The following is a 24,683-nucleotide window of genomic DNA, read 5'->3' as shown; positions in this document are numbered from 1 at the left end:
GAATATGCGGTGTTTGGTTTTTTGTTCTTGCGATAGTTTACTGAGAATGATGATTTCCAATTTCATCCATGTCCCTACAAAGGACATGAACTCATCATTTTTTATGGCTGTGTAGTATTCCATGGTGTATATGTGCCACATTTTCTTAATCCAGTCTATCATTGTTGGACATTTGGGTTGGTTCCAAGTCTTTGCTATCGTGAATAATGCCGCAATAAACATACGTGTGCATGTGTCTTTATAGCAGCATGATTTATAGTCCTTTGGGTATATACCCAGTAATGGGATGGCTGGGTCAAATGGTATTTCTAGTTCTAGATCCCTGAAGAATCGCCACACTGACTTCCACAATGGTTGAACTAGTTTACAGTCCCACCAACAGTGTAAAAGTGTTCCTATTTCTCCACATCCTCTCCAGCACCTGTTGTTTCCTGACTTTTTAATGATTGCCATTCTAACTGGTGTGAGATGGTATCTCACTGTGGTTTTGATTTGCATTTCTCTGATGGCCAGTGATGATGAGCATTTTTTCATGTGTTTTTTGGCTGCATAAATGTCTTCTTTTGAGAAGTGTCTGTTCATGTCCTTCACCCACTTTTTGATGGGGTTGTTTGTTTTTTTCTTGTAAATTTGTTTGAGTTCATTGTAGATTCTGGATATTAGCCCTTTGTCAGATGAGTAGGTTGCGAAAATCTTCTCCCATTTTGTAGGTTGCCTGTTCACTCTAATGGTAGTTTCTTTTGCTGTGCAGAAGCTCTTTAGTTTAATTAGATCCCATTTGTCAATTTTGGCTTTTGTTGCCAATGCTTTTGGTGTTTTGGACATGAAGTCCTTGCCCATGCCTATGTCCCGAATGGTAATGCCTAGGTTTTCTTCTAGGGTTTTTATGGTTTTAGGTCTAATGTTTAAGTCTTTAATCCATCTTGAATTGATTTTTGTATAGGGTGTAAGGAAGGGATCCAGTTTCAGCTTTCTACATATGGCTAGCCAGTTTTCCCAGCACCATTTATTAAATAGGGAATCCTTTCCCCATTGCTTGTTTTTCTCAGGTTTGTCAAAGATCAGATAGTTGCAGATATGTGGCATTATTTCTGAGGGCTCTGTTCTGTTCCATTGATCTATATCTCTGTTTTGGTACCAGTACCATGCTGTTTTGGTTACTGTAGCCTTGTAGTATAGTTTGAAGTCAGGTAGTGTGATGCCTCCAGCTTTGTTCTTTTGGCTTAGGATTGCCTTGGTGATGCGGGCTCTTTTTTGATTCCATATGAACTTTAAAGTAGTTTTTTTCCAATTCTGTGAGGAAAGTCATTGGTAGCTTTATGGGGATGGCATTGAATCTGTAAATTACCTTGGGCAGTATGGCCATTTTCACGATATTGATTCTTCCTACCCATGAGCATGGAATGTTCTTCCATTTGTTTATATCCTCTTTTATTTCCTTGAGCAGTGGTTTGTAGTTCTCCTTGAAGAGGTCCTTCACATCCCTTGTAAGTTGGATTCCTAAGTATTTTATTCTCTTTGAAGCAATTGTGAATGGGAGTTCACTCATGATTTGGCTCTCTGTTTGTCTGTTGTTGGTGTATAAGAATGCTTGTGATTTTTGCACATTGATTTTGTATCCTGAGACTTTGCTGAAGTTGCTTATCAGCTTAAGGAGATTTTGGGCTGAGACAATGGGGTTTTCTAGATATACAATCATGTCGTCTGCAAACAGGGACAATTTGACTTCCTCTTTTCCTAATTGAATACCCTTTATTTCCTTCTCCTGCCTAATTGCCCTGGCCAGAACTTCCAACACTATGTTGAATAGGAGTGGTGAGAGAGGGCATCCCTATCTTATGCCAGTTTTCAAAGGGAATGCTTCCAGTTTTTGCCCATTCAGTATGATATTGGCTGTGGGTTTGTCATAGATAGCTCTTATTATTTTGAAATACGTCCCATCAATATCTAATTTATTGAGAGCTTTTAGCATGAAGGATTGTTGAATTTTGTCAAAGGCTTTTCCTGCATCTATTGAGATAATCATGTGGTTTTTGTCTTTGGCTCTGTTTATATGCTGGATTACATTTATTGATTTGCGTATATTGAACCAGCCTTGCATCCCAGGGATGAAGCCCACTTGATCATGGTGGATAAGCTTTTTGATGTGCTGCTGGATTCGGTTTGCCAGTATTTTATTGAGGATTTTTGCATCAATGTTCATCAAGGATATTGGTCTAAAATTCTCTTTTTTGGTTGTGTCTCTGCCTGGCTTTGGTATCAGAATGATGCTGGCCTCATAAAATGAGTTAGGGAGGATTCCCTCTTTTTCTATTGATTGGAATAGTTTCAGAAGGAATGGTACCAGTTCCTCCTTGTACCTCTGGTAGAATTCGGCTGTGAATCCATCTGGTCCTGGACTCTTTTTGGTTGGTAAACTATTGATTATTGCCAGAATTTCAGCTCCTGTTATTGGTCTATTCAGAGATTCAACTTCTTCCTGGTTTAGTCTTGGGAGAGTGTATGTGTCAAGGAATTTATCCATTTCTTCTAGATTTTCTAGTTTATTTGTGTAGAGGTGTTTGTAGTATTCTCTGATGGTAGTTTGTATTTCTGTGGGATGGGTGGTGATATCCCCTTTATCATTTTTTATAGTGTCTATTTGATTCTTCTCTCTTTTCTTCTTTATTAGTCTTGCTAGCGGTCTATCAATTTTGTTGATCCTTTCAAAAAACCAGCTCCTGGATTCATTAATTTTTTGAAGGGTGTTTTGTGTCTCTATTTCCTTCAGTTCTGCTCTGATTTTAGTTATTTCTTGCTTTCTGCTAGCTTTTGAATGTGTTTGCTCTTGCTTTTCTAGTTCTTTTAATTGTGATGTTAGGGTGTCAATTTTGGATCTTTCCTGCTTTCTCTTGTGGGCATTTAGTGCTATAAATTTCCCTCTACACACTGCTTTGAATGCATCCCAGAGATTCTGGTATGTTGTGTCTTTGTTCTCGTTGGTTTCAAAGAACGTCTTTATTTCTGCCTTCATTTCGTTATGTATCCAGTAGTCATTCAGGAGCAGGTTGTTCAGTTACCATGTAGTTGAGCGGTTTTGAGTGAGATTCTTAATCCTGAGTTCTAGTTTGATTGCACTGTGGTCTGAGAGATAGTTTGTTATAATTTCTGTTCTTTTACATTTGCTGAGGAGAGCTTTACTTCCCAGTATGTGGTCAATTTTGGAATAGGTGTGGTGTGGTGCTGAAAAAATGTATATTCTGTTGATTTGGGGTGGAGAGTTCTGTAGATGTCTATTAGGTCCGCTTGGTGCAGAGCTGAGTTCAATTCCTGGGTATCCTTGTTGACTTTCTGTCTCGTTGATCTGTCTAATGTTGACAGTGAGGTGTTAAAGTCTCCCATTATTAATGTGTGGGAGTCTAAGTCTCTTTGTAGGTCACTCAGGACTTGCTTTATGAATCTGGGTGCTCCTGTATTGGGTGCATATATATTTAGGATAGTTAGCTCTTCTTGTTGAATTGATCCCTTTACCATTATGTAATGGCCTTCTTTGTCTCTTTTGATCTTTGTTGGTTTAAAGTCTGTTCTATCAGAGACTAGGATTGCAACCCCTGCCTTTTTTTGTTTTCCATTTGCTTGGTAGGTCTTCCTCCATCCTTTTATTTTGAGCCTATGTGTGTCTCTGCACATGAGATGGGTTTCCTGAATACAGTGCACTGATGGGTCTTCACTCTTTATCCAATTTGCCAGTCTGTGTCTTTTAACTGGAGCATTTAGTCCATTTACATTTAAAGTTAATATTGTTATGTGTGAATTTGATCCTGTCATTATGATGTTAGCTGGTGATTTTGCTCGTTAGTTGATGCAGTTTCTTCCTAGTCTCGATGGTCTTTACATTTTGGCATGATTTTGCAGCGGCTGGTACCGGTTGTTCCTTTCCATGTTTAGCGCTTCCTTCAGGAGCTCTTTTAGGGCAGGCCTGGTGGTGACAAAATCTCTCAGCATTTGCTTGTCTGTAAAGTATTTTATTTCTCCTTCGCTTATGAAGCTTAGTTTGGCTGGATATGAAATTCTGGGTTGAAAATTCTTTTCTTTAACAATGTTGAATATTGGCCCCCACTCTCTTCTGGCTTGTAGGGTTTCTGCCGAGAGATCCGCTGTTAGTCTGATGGGCTTCCCTTTGAGGGTAACCCGACCTTTCTCTCTGGCTGCCCTTAACATTTTTTCCTTCATTTCAACTTTGGTGAATCTCACAATTATGTGTCTTGGAGTTGCCCTTCTCGAGGAGTATCTTTGTGGCGTTCTCTGTATTTCCTGAAACTGAACGTTGGCCTGCCTTGCTAGATTGGGGAAGTTCTCCTGGATAATATCCTGCAGAGTGTTTTCCAACTTGGTTCCATTCTCCCCATCACCTTCAGGCACACCAATCAGACGTAGATTTGGTCTTTTCACATAGTCCCATATTTCTTGGAGGCTTTGCTCATTTCTTTTTATTATTTTTTCTCTAAACTTCCCTTCTCGCTTCATTTCATTCATTTCATCTTCCATCGCTGATACCCTTTCTTCCAGTTGATCACATCGGCTCCTGAGCCTTCTGCATTCTTCACGTAGTTCTCGAGCCTTGGTTTTCAGCTCCATCAGCTCCTTTAAGCACTTCTCTGTATTGGTTATTCTAGTTATACATTCTTCTAAATTTTTTTCAAAGTTTTCAACTTCTTTGCCTTTGGTTTGAATGTCCTCCCATAGCTCAGAGTAATTTGATCGTCTGAAGCCTTCTTCTCTCAGCTCGTCAAAGTCATTCTCCATCCAGCTTTGTTCCGTTGCTGGTGAGGAACTGCGTTCCTTTGGAGGAGGAGAGGTGCTCTGCGTTTTAGAGTTTCCAGTTTTTCTGTTCTGTTTTTTCCCCATCTTTGTAGTTTTATCTACTTTTGGTCTTTGATGACGGTGATGTACAGATGGGTTTTTGATGTGGATGTCCTTTCTGTTTGTTAGTTTTCCTTCTAACAGACATGACCGTCAGCTGCAGGTCTGTTGGAATACCCTGCCGTGTGAGGTGTCAGTGTGCCCCTGCTGGGGGGTGCCTCCTAGTTAGGCTGCTCCGGTGTCAGGGGTCAGGGACCCACTTGAGGAGGCAGTCTGCCTGTTCTCAGATCTCCAGCTGCGTGCTGGGAGAACCACTGCTCTCTTCAAAGCTATCAGACAGGGACATTTAAGTCTGCAGAGGTTACTGCTGTCTTTTTGTTTGTCTGTGCCCTGCCCCCAGAGGTGGAGCCTACAGAGGCAGGCAGGCCTCCTTGAGCTGTGGTGGGTTCCACCCAGTTGGAGCTTCCCGGCTGCTTTGTTTACCTAATCAAGCCCGGGCAATGGCGGGCGCCCCTCCCCCAGCCTCGCTGCCGCCTTGCAGTTTGATCTCAGACTGCTGTGCTAGCAATCAGCGAGACTCCGTGGGCGTAGGACCCTCCGAGCCAGGTGCGGATATAATCTCGTGGTGCGCCGTTTTTTAAGCCGGTCCGAAAAGCGCAATATTCGTGTGGGAGTGACCCGATTTTCCAGGTGCGTCTGTCACCCCTTTCTTTGACTCGGAAAGGGAACTCCCTGACCCCTTGCGCTTCCCGAGTGAGGCAATGCCTTGCCCTGCTTCGGCTCGCGCACGGTGCGCGCACCCACTGACCTGCGCCCACTGTCTGGCACTCCCTAGTGAGATGAACCCGGTACCTCAGATGGAAATGCAGAAATCACCCGTCTTCTGCGTCGCTCATGCTGGGAGCTGTAGACCGGAGCTGTTCCTATTTGGCCATCTTGGCTCCCTGTTTTAATCTTTCTTCCAGATCAGTTGTTTCAAGGCAGAGGTTATCAACTGGGGAAAATTTTGCTCCCCAGGAAACACTTGGAAGTATCTGGAGACATTTTTGTAGTCATAGCTGAGGTGAGAAGGAAGGGTCCTAAATCTAGGTGCTAAAGAACAGCAATGCTGGAATACATTCTATGATGCACAGGAAAGGCTCTTGAAACAAAAAATTACTTGGCCCAAATTGTAATAGTGTTAAGGTTAAGAATTCCTATTTTAGAGAAATTGTTATATTGAAGTATATGAAATTAATGTTATTTGCCATTTTTAACCTAAAACTTGAATTTTATATGGGTAACCCTTACTAATGAACAATAGTGAGCAATTTTAAGATTTCATAGTTTCAGTAAACGTTTGCACCAAACAGCCTCTTCCAACAAAGAATTATCCTGTCCAAATGTCAGCAGTGGCACTGTTGTGAAGCCCTCATCTGAACATGCAAAAGTAACCAACAAAGCTAACAAGATTTACAGTAGAATTTGTTCTCACCGCCTACTTTGACTAGCATACCTTCATAAAAATTTGGAAGGCAGGTTTTAAGTGTTCATTTCATAGATTCCTTGGAGTTTCCACAACACTTTGGGAACCCTTGGCCTCATGGCTTGTCCTGCCCCAGGAGGGACCTCACACACCTGTGTGTGGACATCCCAGACCTCTAGCCCCAGCTCTGTCTACATGCCCCAAAATAGCCACCCTTGGCCACTCTGTCAGGTTGAGGGGTTTGGACACCTGCAGAGGTCTGCCCTCAGGAAGAATGGCTCAGCAAACAGGCCCATGCAAGGCACACAAGCAGGCTCAGGGCCACTGCAGCAATGTATTCTAGAGTATTCAGAGTATTGCTCAGATTGGCAATGTGGTATGGGTACAGGATGAGTCCTTTGGGTCAAGGACTTGAACTCACGGACAAAACTGCTTCTTCCAACCATGTAATCTCAAATTGGAGATTGAGTTTTTTAATGTGTGGTGATGTGTACTCCTGTTCAAAATTGTGAGCATTTGGCATTTCTCTGAGTTGCATATATTAATGCTGTTATAAGACAGTCTAGTGTTTTATTTTACAGATTAAATAATAATACTTTGAAATATTAAAGTATGAGAGGTTATTTTAAAGATATTAAATCACAGTTAAAGTCATACAATAATTAAATTCAAGAATAAAATTAAAGGGCTGGATCTTTAAAAGACCCAGTAAAATGCTAATTCACAGAAACTGACTCTGTGAAGGGAAATACTGTAAAAATAAAAAATTTTGGTAGTATAATAATCTGCACCACTTCTTCCACTTTTATCTAAAATTAGAATATTTAAGAAGTTTCTCAGAATTTTCAGCACCAAACTTGTTGATGACTTATAAATATATCTTTATTAACTAGAATGATTAATTCATTTTATATTTAATAATAAATATAGAAGGAAAAGTCAACTCAATCAAATTGATAAAAGTGACAAAACAAAACATCTAGAAGCTAATCTTAAATTTGATCATATAAAACTTGAAAGAAAGAATAATATACTTTCTAAAATTGAAGTACATTTTATAGGTTTTTAAAAGTTACTGAAAATTTGTGGAAGCTTGATAAATAGATGGCAAGATATATTCTAGTGTCTGAGTTTTAGAAACAATTGTTTATTTTAATTAGGTTTGTATACCTTACTTCGAAGGAAATATTTTTCCTAATATTATGAAAACCCTAGTTTATATTACTTATAAGAAATGTTGAAATGCTCTGAGTATCTAATACCTGATGATAAGTATAATATATATGTGTGTGTATGTGTGTGTGTGAAAGAGAAAATAAAAAGGAAGGAGGAAGAAGAGAAGAGAGAATAGATTTAGACAGAAGCAACTTTAACCTAAAGGCAAATTTTATGGGATCAAAATATTTGAATGCAGTAGGCAATTTGCAGCACCCTTTAAAATATGGGCATGTATAATTTTCTGCCTTTTAAATTCCCTTTATAAAGAATTCTTAATATGTACTTCAATAAGATTTAGAAATGACAATCACAGAAATTAAGTTTTAGTCTTGTCCTATTTATGTTGTATGGGTTCCATGAAAAATATTTTAAGAGACATAAAAAATGGCCTTTTAAATTTCATGAAATTGAGAGCACAAACAGCTGGCATCCATGATGCCTATGAAATAAAATAAAGCTTCCTGTGAATGATTTTGATACCAAGGAATTTGAGCCTTTAAAAGGAATGACATAGAAGACACAAAGTAGAAGAAAGAGTTTCATTTTTTTATATGAAGATATTAATTTTAAATGTTATCTAAAACATTTTAGCGTAATTTTTTTTCTAAAATGTTATATAATCACTGATTGTGAATTTTATCTTCCAGTCTATTTTTCAGGAGCATTGAACTGACCAGTTATATTTATATCTGGGAGAACTACAGGCTGTTCAATTTGCCTTGGGATTCTCCATGGACTTGGTATTCAGCCTTCTTAGGAGTTGACTTTGGCTACTACTGGTTCCATCGTATGGCTCATGGTAAGCTGCAAATGAGGACTTTTTGTTAACTTATGTTGAACTGTGTTTGGTACATAGTACATATTCAGTAAACATTTATTGAATGGATAAATACAGGAATAAAATAGTATATTTTACGGATATAAAAATTAATAATGAAGGTTTACTTTGCAATTTAAGTGGAGAAAATCTGAAGCCATATTTTAAAAATGATATGAAATTATTGGAAGTACATTTTTTTCGCTTCTAATTTTAAAAAAGATTAGAAAGTGGTGGCTATAGCATTGTATTTTTATTATTTACCATTTGGTTTTTAATGAAAATTTTAATTTTTATGGGGATATTTATTAGTCAGAACCCAAACAAGGTCCTAACATTTGGCTGTTGGGATAAAAGGTTTTTTTGTTTGTGTTTAATTTTTTATTGCAATAGGTTTTTGGGCAACAAGTGGTGTTTGGTTACATGAATAAGTTCTTCAGTTTTGATTTCCGAGACTGTGGTGCACCTATCACCCGAGCATTGTACCCTGTACCCATTGTGTAATCTTTTATCCTTTGCCACCCCCACCCTCTCCCCCTAGTCTCTAAAGTCCAATGTATCATTCTTATGCCTTTGTGTCCTCTTAGCTTAGCTCCCACATATGAGTGAGAACATATGATGTTTGGTTTTCCATTCCTGAGTTAATTCACTTAGAATAATAGTTTCCAATTCCATCTGGGTTGCTGCAAATGCCATTATTTCATTCCTTTTTATGGCTGAGTAGTATTCCATGCTAAATATATACCACATTTTCTTTATCTGCTCATTTCTTGATGGGCATTTGGGCTGGTTCCATATTTTTGCGGTGAAAAGGGAACAGTTTTATACCGTTGGTAGGAAGGTAAACTAGTACAATGACTATGGAAAACAGTGTGGAGATTCCTTAAAGAAGGAAAAGTAGATCCACCATTTGATCCGGCAATCCCACTGGAATTGCCAGATCAAACAGTAGTGGATCTACTTTTCCTTCTTTACGCAGAGGAAAAGAAATCATTATATGAAAAAGATACTTGCACATGCATGTTTATAGCAGTATTGCATTTTAATATACTGCCTTCCATTATTGTTATTATGATATGCTTGATAGAGTCTAAAAACGTACACAATATCAAACTTCACAGCACAATTATTGAGGGTCATTCAGAAGGACCCTGCAACAGTGTGGAATTCTAAGTAATGTGTTCTATTATAGTAAGTTCAATTCAATTTGTTGGCAGTACTTCCACATTACAAATGAAAATGCAATCAGCTAGGCGCTGACCATATGCACTTTTCTGTTACCATAGTTTCACAAAATGTCTCATCTGCAAAAGCCCTCTTACTGCACTGGTTCACTGAATTTGCTTTTTGGGATTCTTGGCTGCACTTCCCAAGAAATGTTTTGTTATAGAAAGGGAAATGGAAGAATGAGGAACAAATCTAGGTCTGAACCTCTGCAGGGATAAGTAGGGGCTGAGGAATGATTGTAGAGCTAAGGTGAGCAAGTGGTCTCTGAGGAGAAAAAAGCATGCCAAAGTATTTCTGAAGTTCTAATCTTGAAAAACTACTGAAGAGCACAACTCAGGATTTCAGTGGGTGGTTGGTTGAGTGGGTGTGGAGGAAGGAAGGAAGAGGAAGGAACCTGGAATAATACTAATAAATAGATGGCAGATGGACAGAAGAGACCAGAGATCAGGGTGAATAACTGAGCTCTCTGTGTAGGAGTGAGTGTGACCAAATATCCTTCCCAAGCAAGGATGAAGGAAATAGGAGTAGCATGGATTTGTGTTATGCTCAAGGCTGTTAAAATTTAAATATAGCATCGTTTATGTTAACCACCTTAAACATGTGCACTTAATGAAACTCTATGAAGGCTTAATTTATTAGAACAATTTGAAGTGAATATATGAGTTAGAAAAAGTTATTAAGTTTGTGCGTGATAACCTTTGTCTTTGACACATAATAGGTCAGTTCCTGACACTATTTCCTCATATATAAATGCAAAGGCTACTCCAAAATCAAACATGATTAAGAATAAATATGGTTTACATAATAACATATTTGTGTTTTATTTCAAACTGGTAGTTTTCTCCCTAAAATAAACTCATCGGCAATCTTCCTCATTTTCTATGCAACAAAGGGGTGTTGCAGAAGGCATTTATATTGTACTATATTACATACTTTCAAGAACCTTCCTCATGCCGCACTACCCAACACGGATGTGTTTATTTGGGAAATCTGCAAATTTGTTTACTCCTGGAAAGCCCATTATAACAGGAAACAAAGAATCAACAAGATATTACCAATATAAAACTATTAAAAATATGTTGATTATAAGTGTTCTCAGTTGGGAAGAGCAATAAAGTAAAATAACATATTAAAAATGTGGCATCAAGGCTATTTAAAGTATGCTTCTCATTAGAAATTTTGAACTGAATCCAGTAAAAAAGGCAGGCATTAAAAAAATTTTGAAAACCTTCTGGAAAAACATTCACAACCTTCAGGCTATGGAGCCAAACCGTAAGTTCAAAGACTTTTGACTTGTAATGGAAAGCTAGTAGGAAAAAAGTAACTTATTTAAATGTATCAACCTTCAACATAATGCTTAATTTTTAAATTTTATTTGTAAATAATACTGTAAAATATTAAAATGGGTTTTTAGAAATCAAGACACACACAGGGCTAAAAAAAACCCCATATAATATCAAATTTCTTGAGCCTCTTGGATTACTGTCAAAATTGAATAACTGGTCAGATTTATTTAACTGAAAAATTTCAATAATTCCAAAATACGTATGTCATCTTAAAATATAGTAAGAAAAAAATCAAATCCTACTTTTTCTATTCAATGTATTACTTTCCTTTCACTACTTCAAAATGATATAGCAAAAACATATTTCACATTTGTTAGTATGTTAAATGCTGTGAGTTTTGAAGAAACAATATATTATGTATTTAAAATTTTGTCTTTACATGTATTTAAATTGCTTCCTTAGGATTCCAAATCATTGCTAGATTTGTTGTTGTTGTCATTTGTTTGTGTTGCATATATGTCGCATTTTCTCACAGTTATGGGACAGTTAGCAGAAAACAGTTTATTCTCAACATTTGAATTCCATCTCTATCACTATGCCAAGATATTGAAGTTCTGTATGCTCTTTATATACTTTTTTCTTCCTCTGGAATGAAAAAGAAATTGCTAATTATGGTCAAATTACACCAAGCAAAGGCAATACAATAGTTCTATTATAGACAGCTTTGATGATTTTAGAAAAATATATAGAAGGATAAATAGTTCTTAAATTTAAAAAGTAGCTTTGTGCACTCTTTTCCTCCACATAAAAATAATGCATTAGGCTGGACACAGTGGCTCATGCCTGTAATCCCAGCACTTTGGGAGGCTGAGGCTGGCGGATCATGAGGTCAGGAGTTCGAGACCAGCCTGACCAACATGGTGAAACCTTGTCTCTACTAAAAATACAAAAATTAGCAGGTGTGGTGGCCCACGCCTGTAATCCCAGCTACTCAGGAGGCTGAGGCAGGAGAATTGCTTGAACCCGGGAGCCGGAGGTTGCAGTGAGCCAAGACCGTTCCACTGCACTCCAGCCTGGGGTGACAGAGCGAGACCCCGTCTCAAAAAAAACCCACAAAAACAAAAAAACAAACAAACAAAAAAACAACTGGCATATTATTTTTCTTTGTACATTTTATTAGTTACACTAAACATGTAAGAAAACAGGTAAAGATTTTCAAGGAAACATTTTTAAAAGCTGATAATTACTGCTTGGGAGGAACAAGAATGAGACCTTCAGGGTCCTGATAATAAGCTCTATCTTGCCTTGGGTGCTATTTACATGAGTGCGTATATTTGTAAAAATTCATTGAGTTGGTTGTACACTTAAAATTTATACATTTTCTATATATATACTTTTATAGAAAGTTAAATTCATAAATAATGTCACCAATGCAATTTCTTGGTTTATAGTTCTAAGGCAGAATGCTATAGTATATAAACAAATTTAGAAAAACAATACAAGAGGTTATGATTTGTGACTCTATGTATAAATATGTGACCTTATACAGTTTTTAACTGTATCAGTGTCAACCAAGTATGGGGAAGGGCCAGCATGCCAGTTATTAATTTATTGCCTCTCTTATCCAAATCTATTCTTCTTTGCCCTTCCTTCTATTGTCAGAGCTGCATGCTGTAGACATTTCTCTTTTGCCAGCTCACTTGATGCTAGACTTTGCCAATTTAAGGGGCTGGAGGGACACTGCAAAGCCAGAACATGAGAAAGAGACCTTGCCTCCATTTTCCAGCGTGCTCTTTTCTGTCTGGCACTTGGAGGTTTGGTATGTGAGGGATGTGGTACTCTTCACCTCTTGCTCAGCTGTAGCCTACACCCTCTGGCAAGATTCTCTGCCATTCAGGGGGCCACACCAAAAAACTAGCTGTAGCTCATACACTCTGGGATCTATATACTCTATTTAGTAAGTTTCTCTGTCACCAACAGAGTTCCAGTGGTAGCCACAACCTCTCCAGAGATGTCTGAGTCTTAGACCTGGGGGTGGTGTGAGTGTATGAGTACATGTGTGGGACTCTTCTAAAGGTATAAGTACCTGCTTGGTTCTCTCTCCCTCAGTTCTATAGGCAGTAGCTGCATTCTTTGGTTGCTACTTCTGTAACATTGAATTCCTCCCTCCTTACCTCTTTAGTAGTTCACTTCCTCTTTACCTGTTAATAATTCCTTATATTAACTTTTCCTTATTCAAGTTACTAATGTGGTTTCTGTCTCTTGATTGGACCCTGACTGATACAGGCAGCCTCCTCATATATTACATAGAATAACAAATTAGGGTTTTCATATGAAAAAAGCTCAACATCACTAATCATTACAGAAATGAAAATCAAAACCACAGTAAGATACCTTCTTACACTAGTCAGAATGACTATTATTAAAAAGTCAAAAAATAGCAGATGCTGGTGAGGTTGCAGAAAAAAAAGGAATGCTTATACACTGTTGGTGGGAGTGCAAGTTAGTTCAGCCATTGTGTAAAGCAATTTGGCAATTCCTCAAATAACTTAGAATTACCATTTAACACAGCAATCCAGTTATTGAGTATATGCCCAAAGGAATATAAATTGTTCCATTATAAAGACACATGCATGTGTATGTTCAATGCAGCACTATTCACAATAGCAAAGACATGGAATAAATATAAATGCCCACCAATGGTAGACTGGATAAAGAAAATGTGGTATATATACACTATGGAATACTATGCAGTCATAAAAAAGAAAGAGATCATGTCCTTTGCAGCAACATGGATAGAGTTGGAGGACATTATCCTAAACAAACTAAGGAAGAGAAAACCACATACCACATGTTCTCACTTTTAAGTGGGAGCTATACAACGAGAACACATGGATGCTAGGAGAGGAGCACAGACACTGCAGCCAACTCGAGGGTGGCGGGTGGGAGAAAGGAGAAAATCACAAAAAAATACCTATCAGGTGCTATGCTTATTACCCAGGTGATGAAATTATCTGTACACCAAATCTCATGACACACTGTTTACATAGAACAAATCTGCACATGTGCCCCTGAACCTAAAAGTTAAAAAAATAATAAAATTAATAATAATAATCATAAAAATTAAAATAAAGAATTTACCCAGTTGCACCTTTTACTATTATATTTCATTCTGAGGCATTGATTATATACTGAGGCTACAAAATTTTGTTTAGTCCTGAAAGCAGGATCATCATCCAAAACTGTTGTAATAAGCAATCCATAATATCCCCTCAAACTGTAACTTTTTTTCCTCAACACATTGCTTAATTCATTTTAAAATTCCTCTCATTCTGTATGTAAACAAGGTAGTGATCACAATTTTTGTGTAGTTACAAATATTTATTCCCACAACTTCATTTTGATTAAGTGAACCCCTGTATATGACTCTTAAATTTAAAGTTATTCATTGCTTTCTGACTTTAGAAGTTGAAGTTAGATTATCCTAATTTCAATCACAGTTTAAAAAAGAAAATAAACAGACGTATTGCTGAGAAATTATTTTAATTTGTGAAGGTGCCAGGATTGTGGTCTGCACTGATGAATAGATTACTTACATTCTTCTGTACTTGTGTTTCTTTTTTGATACCAGAATATACCTAAGATTTTTGTAACTCTTTGCTATACATTATGACATTCTTTATTTTAAAAATACACTATGGAAGGTATGCTGGCTCATACCTGTAATCTCAGCACTCTCAGCGCCTAGGGAGACCAAGGCAGGAGGATAGTTTGAGGCTAGGAGTTTCAAGACCAACCTGGACAACATGGAGAGACTTCGTCTTTACAAAACATTAAAAAATTAGCTGGGTGTGGTGGCACGTGCCTACAATTCTAGCTGCTCAGAAGGCTGAGGCAGTAAGATCACCTGAGCCCAGGAATTTTAGGCTCCAGTGAGCTATGAGTGTGCCACTGTACTCCAGCATGAGTGTCAGAGTGAGACCTTGTCTGTAATAATAATAATAATAATACATTGTGATTGTATTCTTAGTGGATCACTTAGGGTAAACTCCACCTTGTATTTGCCTGAGTTACTACCATTTTTCTTGTCTTCTCTCATGATCCCTTACTTTTCCTCAGTCCTTGAAGTGGGATTATTTAGCACCTCTACGAGAGAAGCCTTGGAATTCCCATCAACAACTTGCCTATGCCTTTTAGTTTCTTATCATTACTTTCAACCAAAAAATATGGCACCTATGTTAACCATTTTCCTCTGAGTTTATTTCAGTGACAGGCGCCATCCCACGTCAAATGTTAAACATTTGTCCGTTGAAGCACTTAAAATATGTATGAACTGGAAAGGTCACCATTATTTCCCCTCAAAATGCCTGATTTGAGGGGCCTTTCTCGGAGAAATAGCATATTCTTATCAATAGCAACTGTAGTCATTTTGAAAGATACAGACTAACTTTGCTTTGGTGTTCTGAGATTCCATATGTAGATAATGTATAGAAAGTACATTTGAAAAAAAGATTATGGCTATTATCAAGGGTTTGTAAGCATAAATTCATTGAATTATTAAACAGGGAAGTCATAAACAAAAATAAAATATAGGGATGCCAGGAATCTCCATCAGTCTATTTTTGAACATTGATTGTAAAGTATAGAAATATTTCCAGGAATAATTAGGAGAACCGAGGGCGGCTGTGCAATATTTTCGAGAAATTTAATTAAAAGCTGTGAAATGAGTAATCAAAATTAAATCAGAAGGCATAAATGGAGTAAAGATTATAAACTTTAACTTACTTATGATTTTTTTAGGGACACAAAATATGCCGTGTTTTTCTTTTAGTCTTAGAACGTAATGTATTTAACTCTTACATTGCAGAAAAAGCATTAAAATTTGAATCAAAAGATCTAGGTGTGCACCACCGTGCAACTGCTTACCACACACATAACCTTGGGATTAACCACTCTGAGATAGATTTTACGTATTTTACTCATCTTCTAGCTTTGTGAAACAATTCTAATGAAAATGCTTTGAAAGTCCAGGAACCAAGTATAGATGAGTGAATGAATAAATAAGCCAATTCAAATAAAGTAAGATGGAAGGTTATGTGAAGGTTTAGGGATGTTTCAAATGGGAACAGGAGGGAAAACACTTAAGTTTGAAGTAGACTTTAGGATTGTTTTGGAACAATATGCAGTTAAATATGATCTGGAAAAAACAGATTTTGTCCCAAGTAATTTTATTCAGAAAAAGAATTTGGAAGTCTCTTTCGCTAAATATGCATGATGCATTAGCACACAAAATATTTGAATACAGCCATTTTAGACCAAAAAAAAAGTCAAATCAAGTGGAATTCTATCCACTTTCATTTATTGAACAAGTATAATTATGACTAAATTTAGCGTTACCATATAAAATAGCATAATGAAAGACGGCTGTGTGAATTACTAAAAGGGTACATTAAGATTTTTGCGGTAATCATCAGCTTAGATATTTATTTCTATAGCTATTGACTTCACTTATGCATTTATTTGTGAGTAAATGAATTAATACATTTACTTATGTATTAATTTTTTCAAAAAATATTTGAGACCACTTATCTTGTACCAACCCTATACTAAGTACCTGAGATACTTGCTTAATAACAGGTATGGTCACTGATTGTTTATTCTATTGTGAATCAGAGACATCAACAACTAATTACAATAATAATAGGGGCAGGTTCTAAAATTGATAAATAAACTGTCCTCTCATTGCCATTAATTCTGAAATTTACAAATTTCTGAAAAGTCTATAGTTGTATGCATAAACATCAAATGGGATTCTGTTAAAATTCTTATTTCTGAAATGATGATGCTGGTAAAAGTACTAATAGTAATATAGAAAATTAAATTTCAAGTATCATTGAAGGGCTTTGGAGAAGCGACAAGTATAGTGGTAAAAAAAAGTAGATTCTGGAGCCAAGTTCCCTGAGTTCAACTCTTTGTACTGACACTTATTAACTGAGATTTGAGCCGTTTAATCTATGTCTTAGTTTCTTCATCTATAAAATGGGAATAATAATGGTAATAGTATACATCTCATAAGATTTTCATAAAGCTTAAATGAGTAAAACTTAGGGGAGTGACTGTCAGATAGTTAATACTATTTAAATATTACCACTGTTATTGAATACATGTTTTTTATATTGTTAGGTACTAGACTAAGTGTTTTGTGTTAATAACACAGCATATTATATTATTTAATTCCCAGAATAACTCTATAAAGTAGGCACTCAGTCGTTCATGAGACATTAACTGAGTACCCACGTATATTATAAAGCCTCCTAATTGCTAGGATTATAACAGTGAACAAATAAAAGTTGCTGCCCTACCTTGTATTTGATAGCACACCTGGGAGCTTATAGTTAATAATAATTTAATTATTCACTTGAAAATAACTAAAAGAGTATAACTGAATTGTTTGTAGCCTAAAGGATAAATATGTGTAGTGATGGATATCCAATTTTTTATGATGTGACTGTTACACATTGCATGCCTGCACCAAAATATCTCATGTACCCCATAAATATATACACCTAGTATGTACCCACAAAAATTAAGATATTTTTTTAAAGTTGTTACCCTTTGGGTGCTTACATCCTAACGAGGGAAGAAAGTCCAGATATAAAATGTATCCTATGTAATATGCCAGGTAGTGAGGCATGCTGTGGAATACAGAGTGATGGACCCAACAGTCAGGTAAGTTCAAATGCCAAAGTAATTAGTTTGAGATGCATAATTTTTGTTGAGTTTGACTAATTTCCTAAACTATTATTATATTTGTTCAAAACCAAACAATTTTCTTATTTTAACTTCATTTTGTAATGTACTTCTTGAATTCCGATTCTTTTATTCCAAAGGTAAAAAGAAAGAGTATGCCCCCCCATTCCTAGAAAAATAGGAATAACTTATTTTTCTTATTCCAAAGCTTATGTCTAAGAAATAAATTGCAGAAAAAAGCACAGGTGAGCAAAAGATAGAAAATGAAATGTTCATCTAAATCCATCCCCGAGAGACAGGCTCTGTAAATAGAGAGTAAGATAATAGACTCTGGAACCAAACTGCCTGGATTCAAATTCTATTGCTACCACTTTTTAACTGTGTAATATTAAGCAAGTTATGCCACTTCTTTGTGTTTCCTTATCTGTAGATGCAAATAACAAAAGTATAATTTTCACAGACTACTTGAGAAGTTTAAATGAGTAAAAATGGACAAAACACTTAAGGTGCAGTCTGATACATAAGTAAAAAAGTTATGAATTCATATGTTGTCTGACCTGTTTATGTAATGTATTATATATAATGCAATAATATAAATATTACTATGTTTTCTCTAAATAATATTAAAATACATTGGTAGTTATAAGAATTGCCTTACCAAAATTCAGGGTTAAATTTACTTATCCTCATACAAACTTAATTTTTTTCTCACTGTTAGCTGGGGATAATAATACTTCATAAAGGACCTTATAAAGATATAATATATTTGTGTATATGTACAAATGTATCATATAACATAATCCAAAGCTAGGGAAACTTGGTTGTATAAAGAATGTCATATTGATTTCTATTTATCAAATTGTAATGGAATTATCTTTGTCTTTAATAAGATGCCTCTACAGGAAAATGAACGTTTTAGTTGTCACAGAGACCATTGACAGTCTGTGTTTTAGATTTATACTGAAGTTAGACATGATACTAATGATCTCTTCCTAGATGAATAGTTGTCAACTGTAATAAACAAAATTATATTTTGCTTTTATAAAGAAAGTCTCTTTTCCCCAAGTGAATATCATGGAATTTGATTTCTTTCTAGTAAATCAAACTTATCCGTATTCCCTTTTTCTTTCAACACTTGAAGTTTTTAATTTGCTATTTTAAAGATTTACATGAAAGGTTTTAAAAGAAATAAAATCCATTAGAATGTGTACATTTTGCCTATATTTTAAAATGTCTTTTGTTGTCCTTTCATCTTAATTAAATATTAATTTGTTAAAATATGCTTTTCCAGCTAAGAGATTGAAATGTCTTTTCGAGAACCTAGGAAATGACTTGAAAAAAATTGCTAAAACAGATTTGTTCTTTCTTCTCTTACGCTAATGGGTAATTTGATTTTGTTCTTTTTTTTACAATCGAGGCCTCATACTTCTTAAAATAGCTTCTAAAATGTAACTTTGTGCCATAAGTATGTGTCCTAAAGTATGTATAGTATATAGTTTTATTCTCTCGAAATCTGCAAATCTTGGTAATAAAATACCCCCACCATTGTATATTATCACAATATATAGCTTGTGCTACATCATCTTTTAAAACAAATTTTTAATGCCAGCTCTGTGTTTTGGAACTGTTTGAAGAATGAAGAAGACACGTTTTCTATGTGAAGTGCTTATACTGTGAGTTAAACAAACAGAACAGAAGAGCCCCGGAAAAATACACCAGATGTGCAGGTGGTAGTTAAATCAACAAGAAATCTGATTTCATCAGTATTAGATTTCATTAGCAGTGATCTTTTCTTCTTTAGAAATATAGGAATATAGTGGAAAAATAAGTCATTATGCAGAATCTGATGGCTCCCACCATGGTGAAAATACTGCTCAGGAAAAAATCTGACTCTAAGTAAAAGGACAAAGTGAACTGCACGTAAAGCATAAAACCAAATGAGTAGGAAGAGAAAACAAAGAATGTAAATGAGGTTGAGTAGAGGATATTTGAGTGGAGGCAGTGATATATAAATCATATTTATAGCAAAGATCTGTAAAACAAATTTAAAAATTTTACTAAAAATGAATAGTACAGGCAATCATAATTTAATAAAACCAGATAACTATATAGGTACATTGTTATTGTCATAGATTAATATTTTGACTAAATAAATATCATAAGAAAAATGGCAAATGAAAATGCAACAAACACCATTATTAATCCCAAGAAAATAGATTGATGAATAAGAGAATGGAGATAAATAAGAATAAATACATAACCACAGCATAACAGGAACTCTTTGGAATGGCAATATATATTACTTAGATCTTAAGTACCAAGTATCTTTTTAGTGACTCTAAAGACATATCTCCATGTGTATAAAAACCAAAAACTGAAACAGAAAGTACTTAAGGATACTACTCTGAGAGGTATTGCCAAAATCTTGTGGGTGAAAGATGAGCACTGAATTTCACTAAAGTTGTAAGGAAGATTTTTTGTTTGTTTTGTTTTGTCTTTTGAGACAGGGTTTTGCTCTGTCACCCAGGCTGGAGTGCAGTGGCATGATCTCGGCTCATTGCAACCTCCACTTCTTGGGCTCAAGCCATCCTACCACCTCAGCCTCCTGAGTAGCTGTGTCTGTAGGCACATGCCACCATTCTCGGCTAATTTTTAAATTTTTTGTAGAGATGGGGTCTCACTTCATTGTCCAGGCTGTTCTTGAACTTCTGGGCTTAAGACATCCTCTCACCTCGGCCTCCCAAAGTGCTGAGATTATAGGCATGAACCACCGCACCCAGCCTAGGAAGATGTTTTATAGTTGACAAGATGCTCTCTTGCTATTTTTCAAATCCTAAAGAACTCAAGATTTTGAATCTTCTTCACTGGAATCAGCCACAGCAAAACAAAATATGTGTGTCAGTCCTACTAGTCATTGAAAACCTGTCATTTTATTAAATAATATTAACAATTAATTAGTATTTACTAGGTTCTTACTAGGTATTCCTAAGGGATTCTCATATATGTTTCATCTTTAATTAAAACAATAACTAACTTGATGATGTCTATCTTTGACAAAAGAGGAAACCAAAACAAAGCAAATTTAAGCAACTTGCCCAACTCTCAGAGCTAATGCACCAGAGCCTTAATACATTGGCCCAAGGCCGTTAATCTCAGAGCCTATGGGCTTTGCCGTTTCTTGACCCTACTAATAAAATTAAAAATTTTCATTAAATGCAACACACACTAATATCAACACCAATCCTATCTATTTTAGATCATGGTGACATATATAAATCACCAACTATTTTGGTAGAAAACAAAAATTATATTTAATGATTTGGTTGTTAAGGTTTTCAAAACATTTACTGAAGCATTAACCTACACTAGGATAGATGAAGTGATGCTTCCTCTGCTTCACTCAACATACAGTATTGCAGTCATATTATAGTTCTCTCAATCCATTATCATAGCATTTGCTAGATGTTTGACTTGTGCAGTAGCTGCACATTAGAAGCATACTGAAAGCTTTAAAAGCTATTGGGCCAGGGGTGGTGGCTCAGGCTTGTAATTCCAGAATTCTGGGAGGCCAAGGCAGGCAGATCACTTGAGGTCAAGAGTTCGAGACCAGCTTGGCCAATATGGAGAAACCCTGTCTCTACTAAAAAGACAAAAATTAGCTGGGCATGGTGTTGGGCACCTGTAATCCTATAATCCCAGCTACTTGGATGGCTGAGGTATGAGAATCGCTTGAACAGCAGCAAGGTGGGGAGCCAGAGGGTGCGATGAGCCTAGATTGTACTACTGCACTCCAGCCTGGGCAATAGAGTGAGACTCCCTCTAAAAAAATATATATATTTATATTTTCTATATATATAGAATATATATATAGAATATACATAGAATATATATATAGAATATATATAGAATATATATATGGAATATATAGAGAATATATATATAGAATATATATAGAGAATATATATAGAATATATATAGAGAATATATATAGAATATATATAGAATATATATAGAGAATATATATAGAATATATATAGAGAATATATATAGAATATATATATAGAATATATATAGAATATATATAGAATATATATATAGAATATATATAGAATATATATAGAATATATATATAGAATATATATAGAATATATATAGAATATATATAGAATATATGTATAGAATATATATAGAGAATATTTTTAGAGAATATGTATATAGAGAATATATATAGAATATATATAGAATATATAGAATATATATATAGAATATATATAGAATATATAGAATATATATATAGAATATATATAGAATATATAGAATATATATATAGAATATATATAGAATATATATAGAATATATACAGAATATATATAGAATATATATAGAATATATATAGAATATATATATAGAATATATATAGAATATATACAGAATATATATAGAATATATATAGAATATATATGGAATATATAGAATATATATAGAATATATAGAATATATATAGAATATACATATAGAATATATATAGAATATATATGTATTCAAAAAAGAGCGAAACTCCATCTCAAAATAAATAAACAAAAATGGTCTGTATTCCAGTCATCTGGAATACAGTCATCTATATACAGTCATCTATATATAGAATATATATATATAGAATATATATAGAAATGTATATATAGAATATATAGAGAAATGTATATATAGAATATATATAGAAATGTATATATAGAATATCTATATAGAAATGTATATATAGAATATCTATATAGAAATGTATATATAGAATATATGTAGAAATACATATATAGAATATATATATAGAAATACGTATATAGAATATATATATAGAAATACGTATATAGAATATATATATAGAAATACGTATATAGAATATATATATAGAAATACGTATATAGAATATATATAGAAATACGTATATAGAATATATATAGAAATACGTATATAGAATATATATATAGAAATACGTATATAGAATATATATAGAAATACGTATATAGAATATATATATAGAAATACGTATATAGAATATATATAGAAATACGTATTTAGAATATATATAGAAATACGTATATAGAATATATATAGAAATACGTATATAGAATATATATATAGAAATACGTATATAGAATATATATGGAAATACGTATATAGAATATATATGGAAATACGTATATAGAATATATATGGAAATACGTATATAGAATATCTATATGGAAATACGTATATAGAATATCTATATGGAAATACGTATATAGAATATCTATATGGAAATACGTATATAGAATATCTATATGGAAATACGTATATAGAATATCTATATGGAAATACGTATATAGAATATCTATATGGAAATACGTATATAGAATATCTATATGGAAATACGTATATAGAATATCTATATGGAAATACGTATATAGAATATCTATATGGAAATACGTATATAGAATATCTATATGGAAATACGTATATAGAATATCTATATGGAAATACGTATATAGAATATCTATATGGAAATACGTATATAGAATATCTATATGGAAATACGTATATAGAATATCTATATGGAAATACGTATATAGAATATCTATATGGAAATACGTATATAGAATATCTATATGGAAATATGTATATAGAATATATATGGAAATATATATATAGAATATATATATAGAGAAATATATATAGAGAAATATATATAGAGAAATATATATATAGAAATATATATATAGAATATATATAGAGTATATAGTATATATATAGTATATATGGAATATATATTCTATATATAGAATATATATAGAATATATATAGAATATATAGTATATATATATATTCTATATATATATTCTATATATATACTCTATATATAGAGTTTATATACTATATATACTCTATATATAGAATATATATTCTATATATATAGAATATATATATATTCTAGTCTAAGAACAGATTCTAGTCTAAGAACTAGAATCTTAGAATCTCTAGGGGGTAGAACCTGAGCTTAATTGTTGTTTTTTTTGTTGATGTTGTTTTAAACTACCCAGTTACTTTAGTGTGTAGCCCAAATTAAATAATAGTGTCTACTTATTGAAGATTATTGACAGATGAAACAAGCAACATGCCAGTTCTTTTGAAGTTACATTAACAGTAATATATATTTAAATATTATAGGGTGGTACATTTGTTTCAATACTTTCCATGTATGTTGAAATATAACCACCCCAGTACTACATGATGCATCCTCCAATAATAATAACATTTTTCTTTTAAAAACACCATGATTATACCTAAGAAATTGAGCAATAAATCGATTATATTATCTAATGTTGTCAGTGCATTTTAAGAATTCCCCCAATTAAGCTGAGAATGTCTGTTTTGAACGTTTTAATTAGATCAAATCAATGTTTATCCACAAGGTTTTTTTTGTCTTTTTGTGTCTTTTAAGTTGATGCCATAACCCCACTTTCTTATGCAATTTACATCTGAGTCCAGGAGAGTTGTCTTGTAATAATGGTTGGCCGGGCGCGGTGTCTCATGCCTCTAATCCCAGTGCTTTGGGAGGCTGAGGCAAGCGGATCACCTGAGGTTGGGAGTTCGAGACCAGCCTGACCAACATGGAGAAACTCCATCTCCAATAAAAATACAAAATTAGCCGGGTGTGGTGGCGCATGCCTGTAATCCCAGCTACTTGGGAGTCTGAAGTGGGAGAATCACTTGAACCTAGGAGGCGGAGGTTGCGGTGAGCCGAGATCGTGCCATTGCACTCCAGCCTGGGCAAAAAAGAGTGAAACTCCGTCTCAAAATAAATAAATAAATAAAAATGGTCTGTATTCCAGTCATCTGATTGTTCCTCCTAGTACTGCTTAATGTTTCCCTCTGTCTTCTGAACTCTCTGCAAACTGGATGTCAGTTTCAGACTCTGGATTGATTAGATTGAGGTTAAATATTTTTTGGCAAAAAAAGTTCATAAACGATGTTAGGTACTTCAGATCAGGATTACCACAAGACAGGATGCCTTATGTATAATATATAATATTATGTATGGTAACAC

General features: G+C 34.4%; 1 protein-coding gene across 7 annotated transcripts in view, besides 2 other annotated features; it reads left to right on the top strand.

Annotated features, from left to right (window-relative positions):
* Positions 1 to 24,683, top strand: part of AGMO (alkylglycerol monooxygenase) — a 444,793-nt gene that overhangs the window by 8,920 nt on the left and 411,190 nt on the right. For all 7 annotated transcript variants that reach the window (XR_001744759.1, XM_017012204.2, XM_011515402.4 and 4 more), the window contains exon 3: positions 8,173 to 8,324. Coding sequence is in view for 6 of the 7 variants with exons in the window: in XM_017012204.2 (XP_016867693.1) it covers positions 8,173 to 8,324 (152 nt within the window). In the remaining variant the exon portion in view is untranslated. The remainder of the gene's footprint in view (positions 1 to 8,172; positions 8,325 to 24,683) is intronic.
* Positions 4,966 to 5,514: an enhancer, noted in NCBI's record as "OCT4-NANOG-H3K27ac hESC enhancer chr7:15587207-15587755 (GRCh37/hg19 assembly coordinates)". NCBI's record gives its function as "activates a minimal SCP1, AML or CMV promoter by ChIP-STARR-seq in naive and primed H9 embryonic stem cells {active_cell/tissue: H9 hESC(naive and primed)}" and the evidence as "EXISTENCE:reporter gene assay evidence [ECO:0000049][PMID:30033119]".
* Positions 5,515 to 6,065: an enhancer, noted in NCBI's record as "OCT4-NANOG-H3K27ac hESC enhancer chr7:15586656-15587206 (GRCh37/hg19 assembly coordinates)". NCBI's record gives its function as "activates a minimal SCP1, AML or CMV promoter by ChIP-STARR-seq in primed H9 embryonic stem cells {active_cell/tissue: H9 hESC(primed)}" and the evidence as "EXISTENCE:reporter gene assay evidence [ECO:0000049][PMID:30033119]".

This window comes from Homo sapiens, chromosome 7 (assembly GCF_000001405.40).
Source record: "Homo sapiens chromosome 7, GRCh38.p14 Primary Assembly".
Classification (NCBI taxonomy): Eukaryota; Metazoa; Chordata; class Mammalia; order Primates; family Hominidae; genus Homo; species Homo sapiens.
The sequence above is the reverse complement of the archived record's forward strand: the minus strand, read 5'-3'. Positions and strand labels throughout refer to the sequence as shown.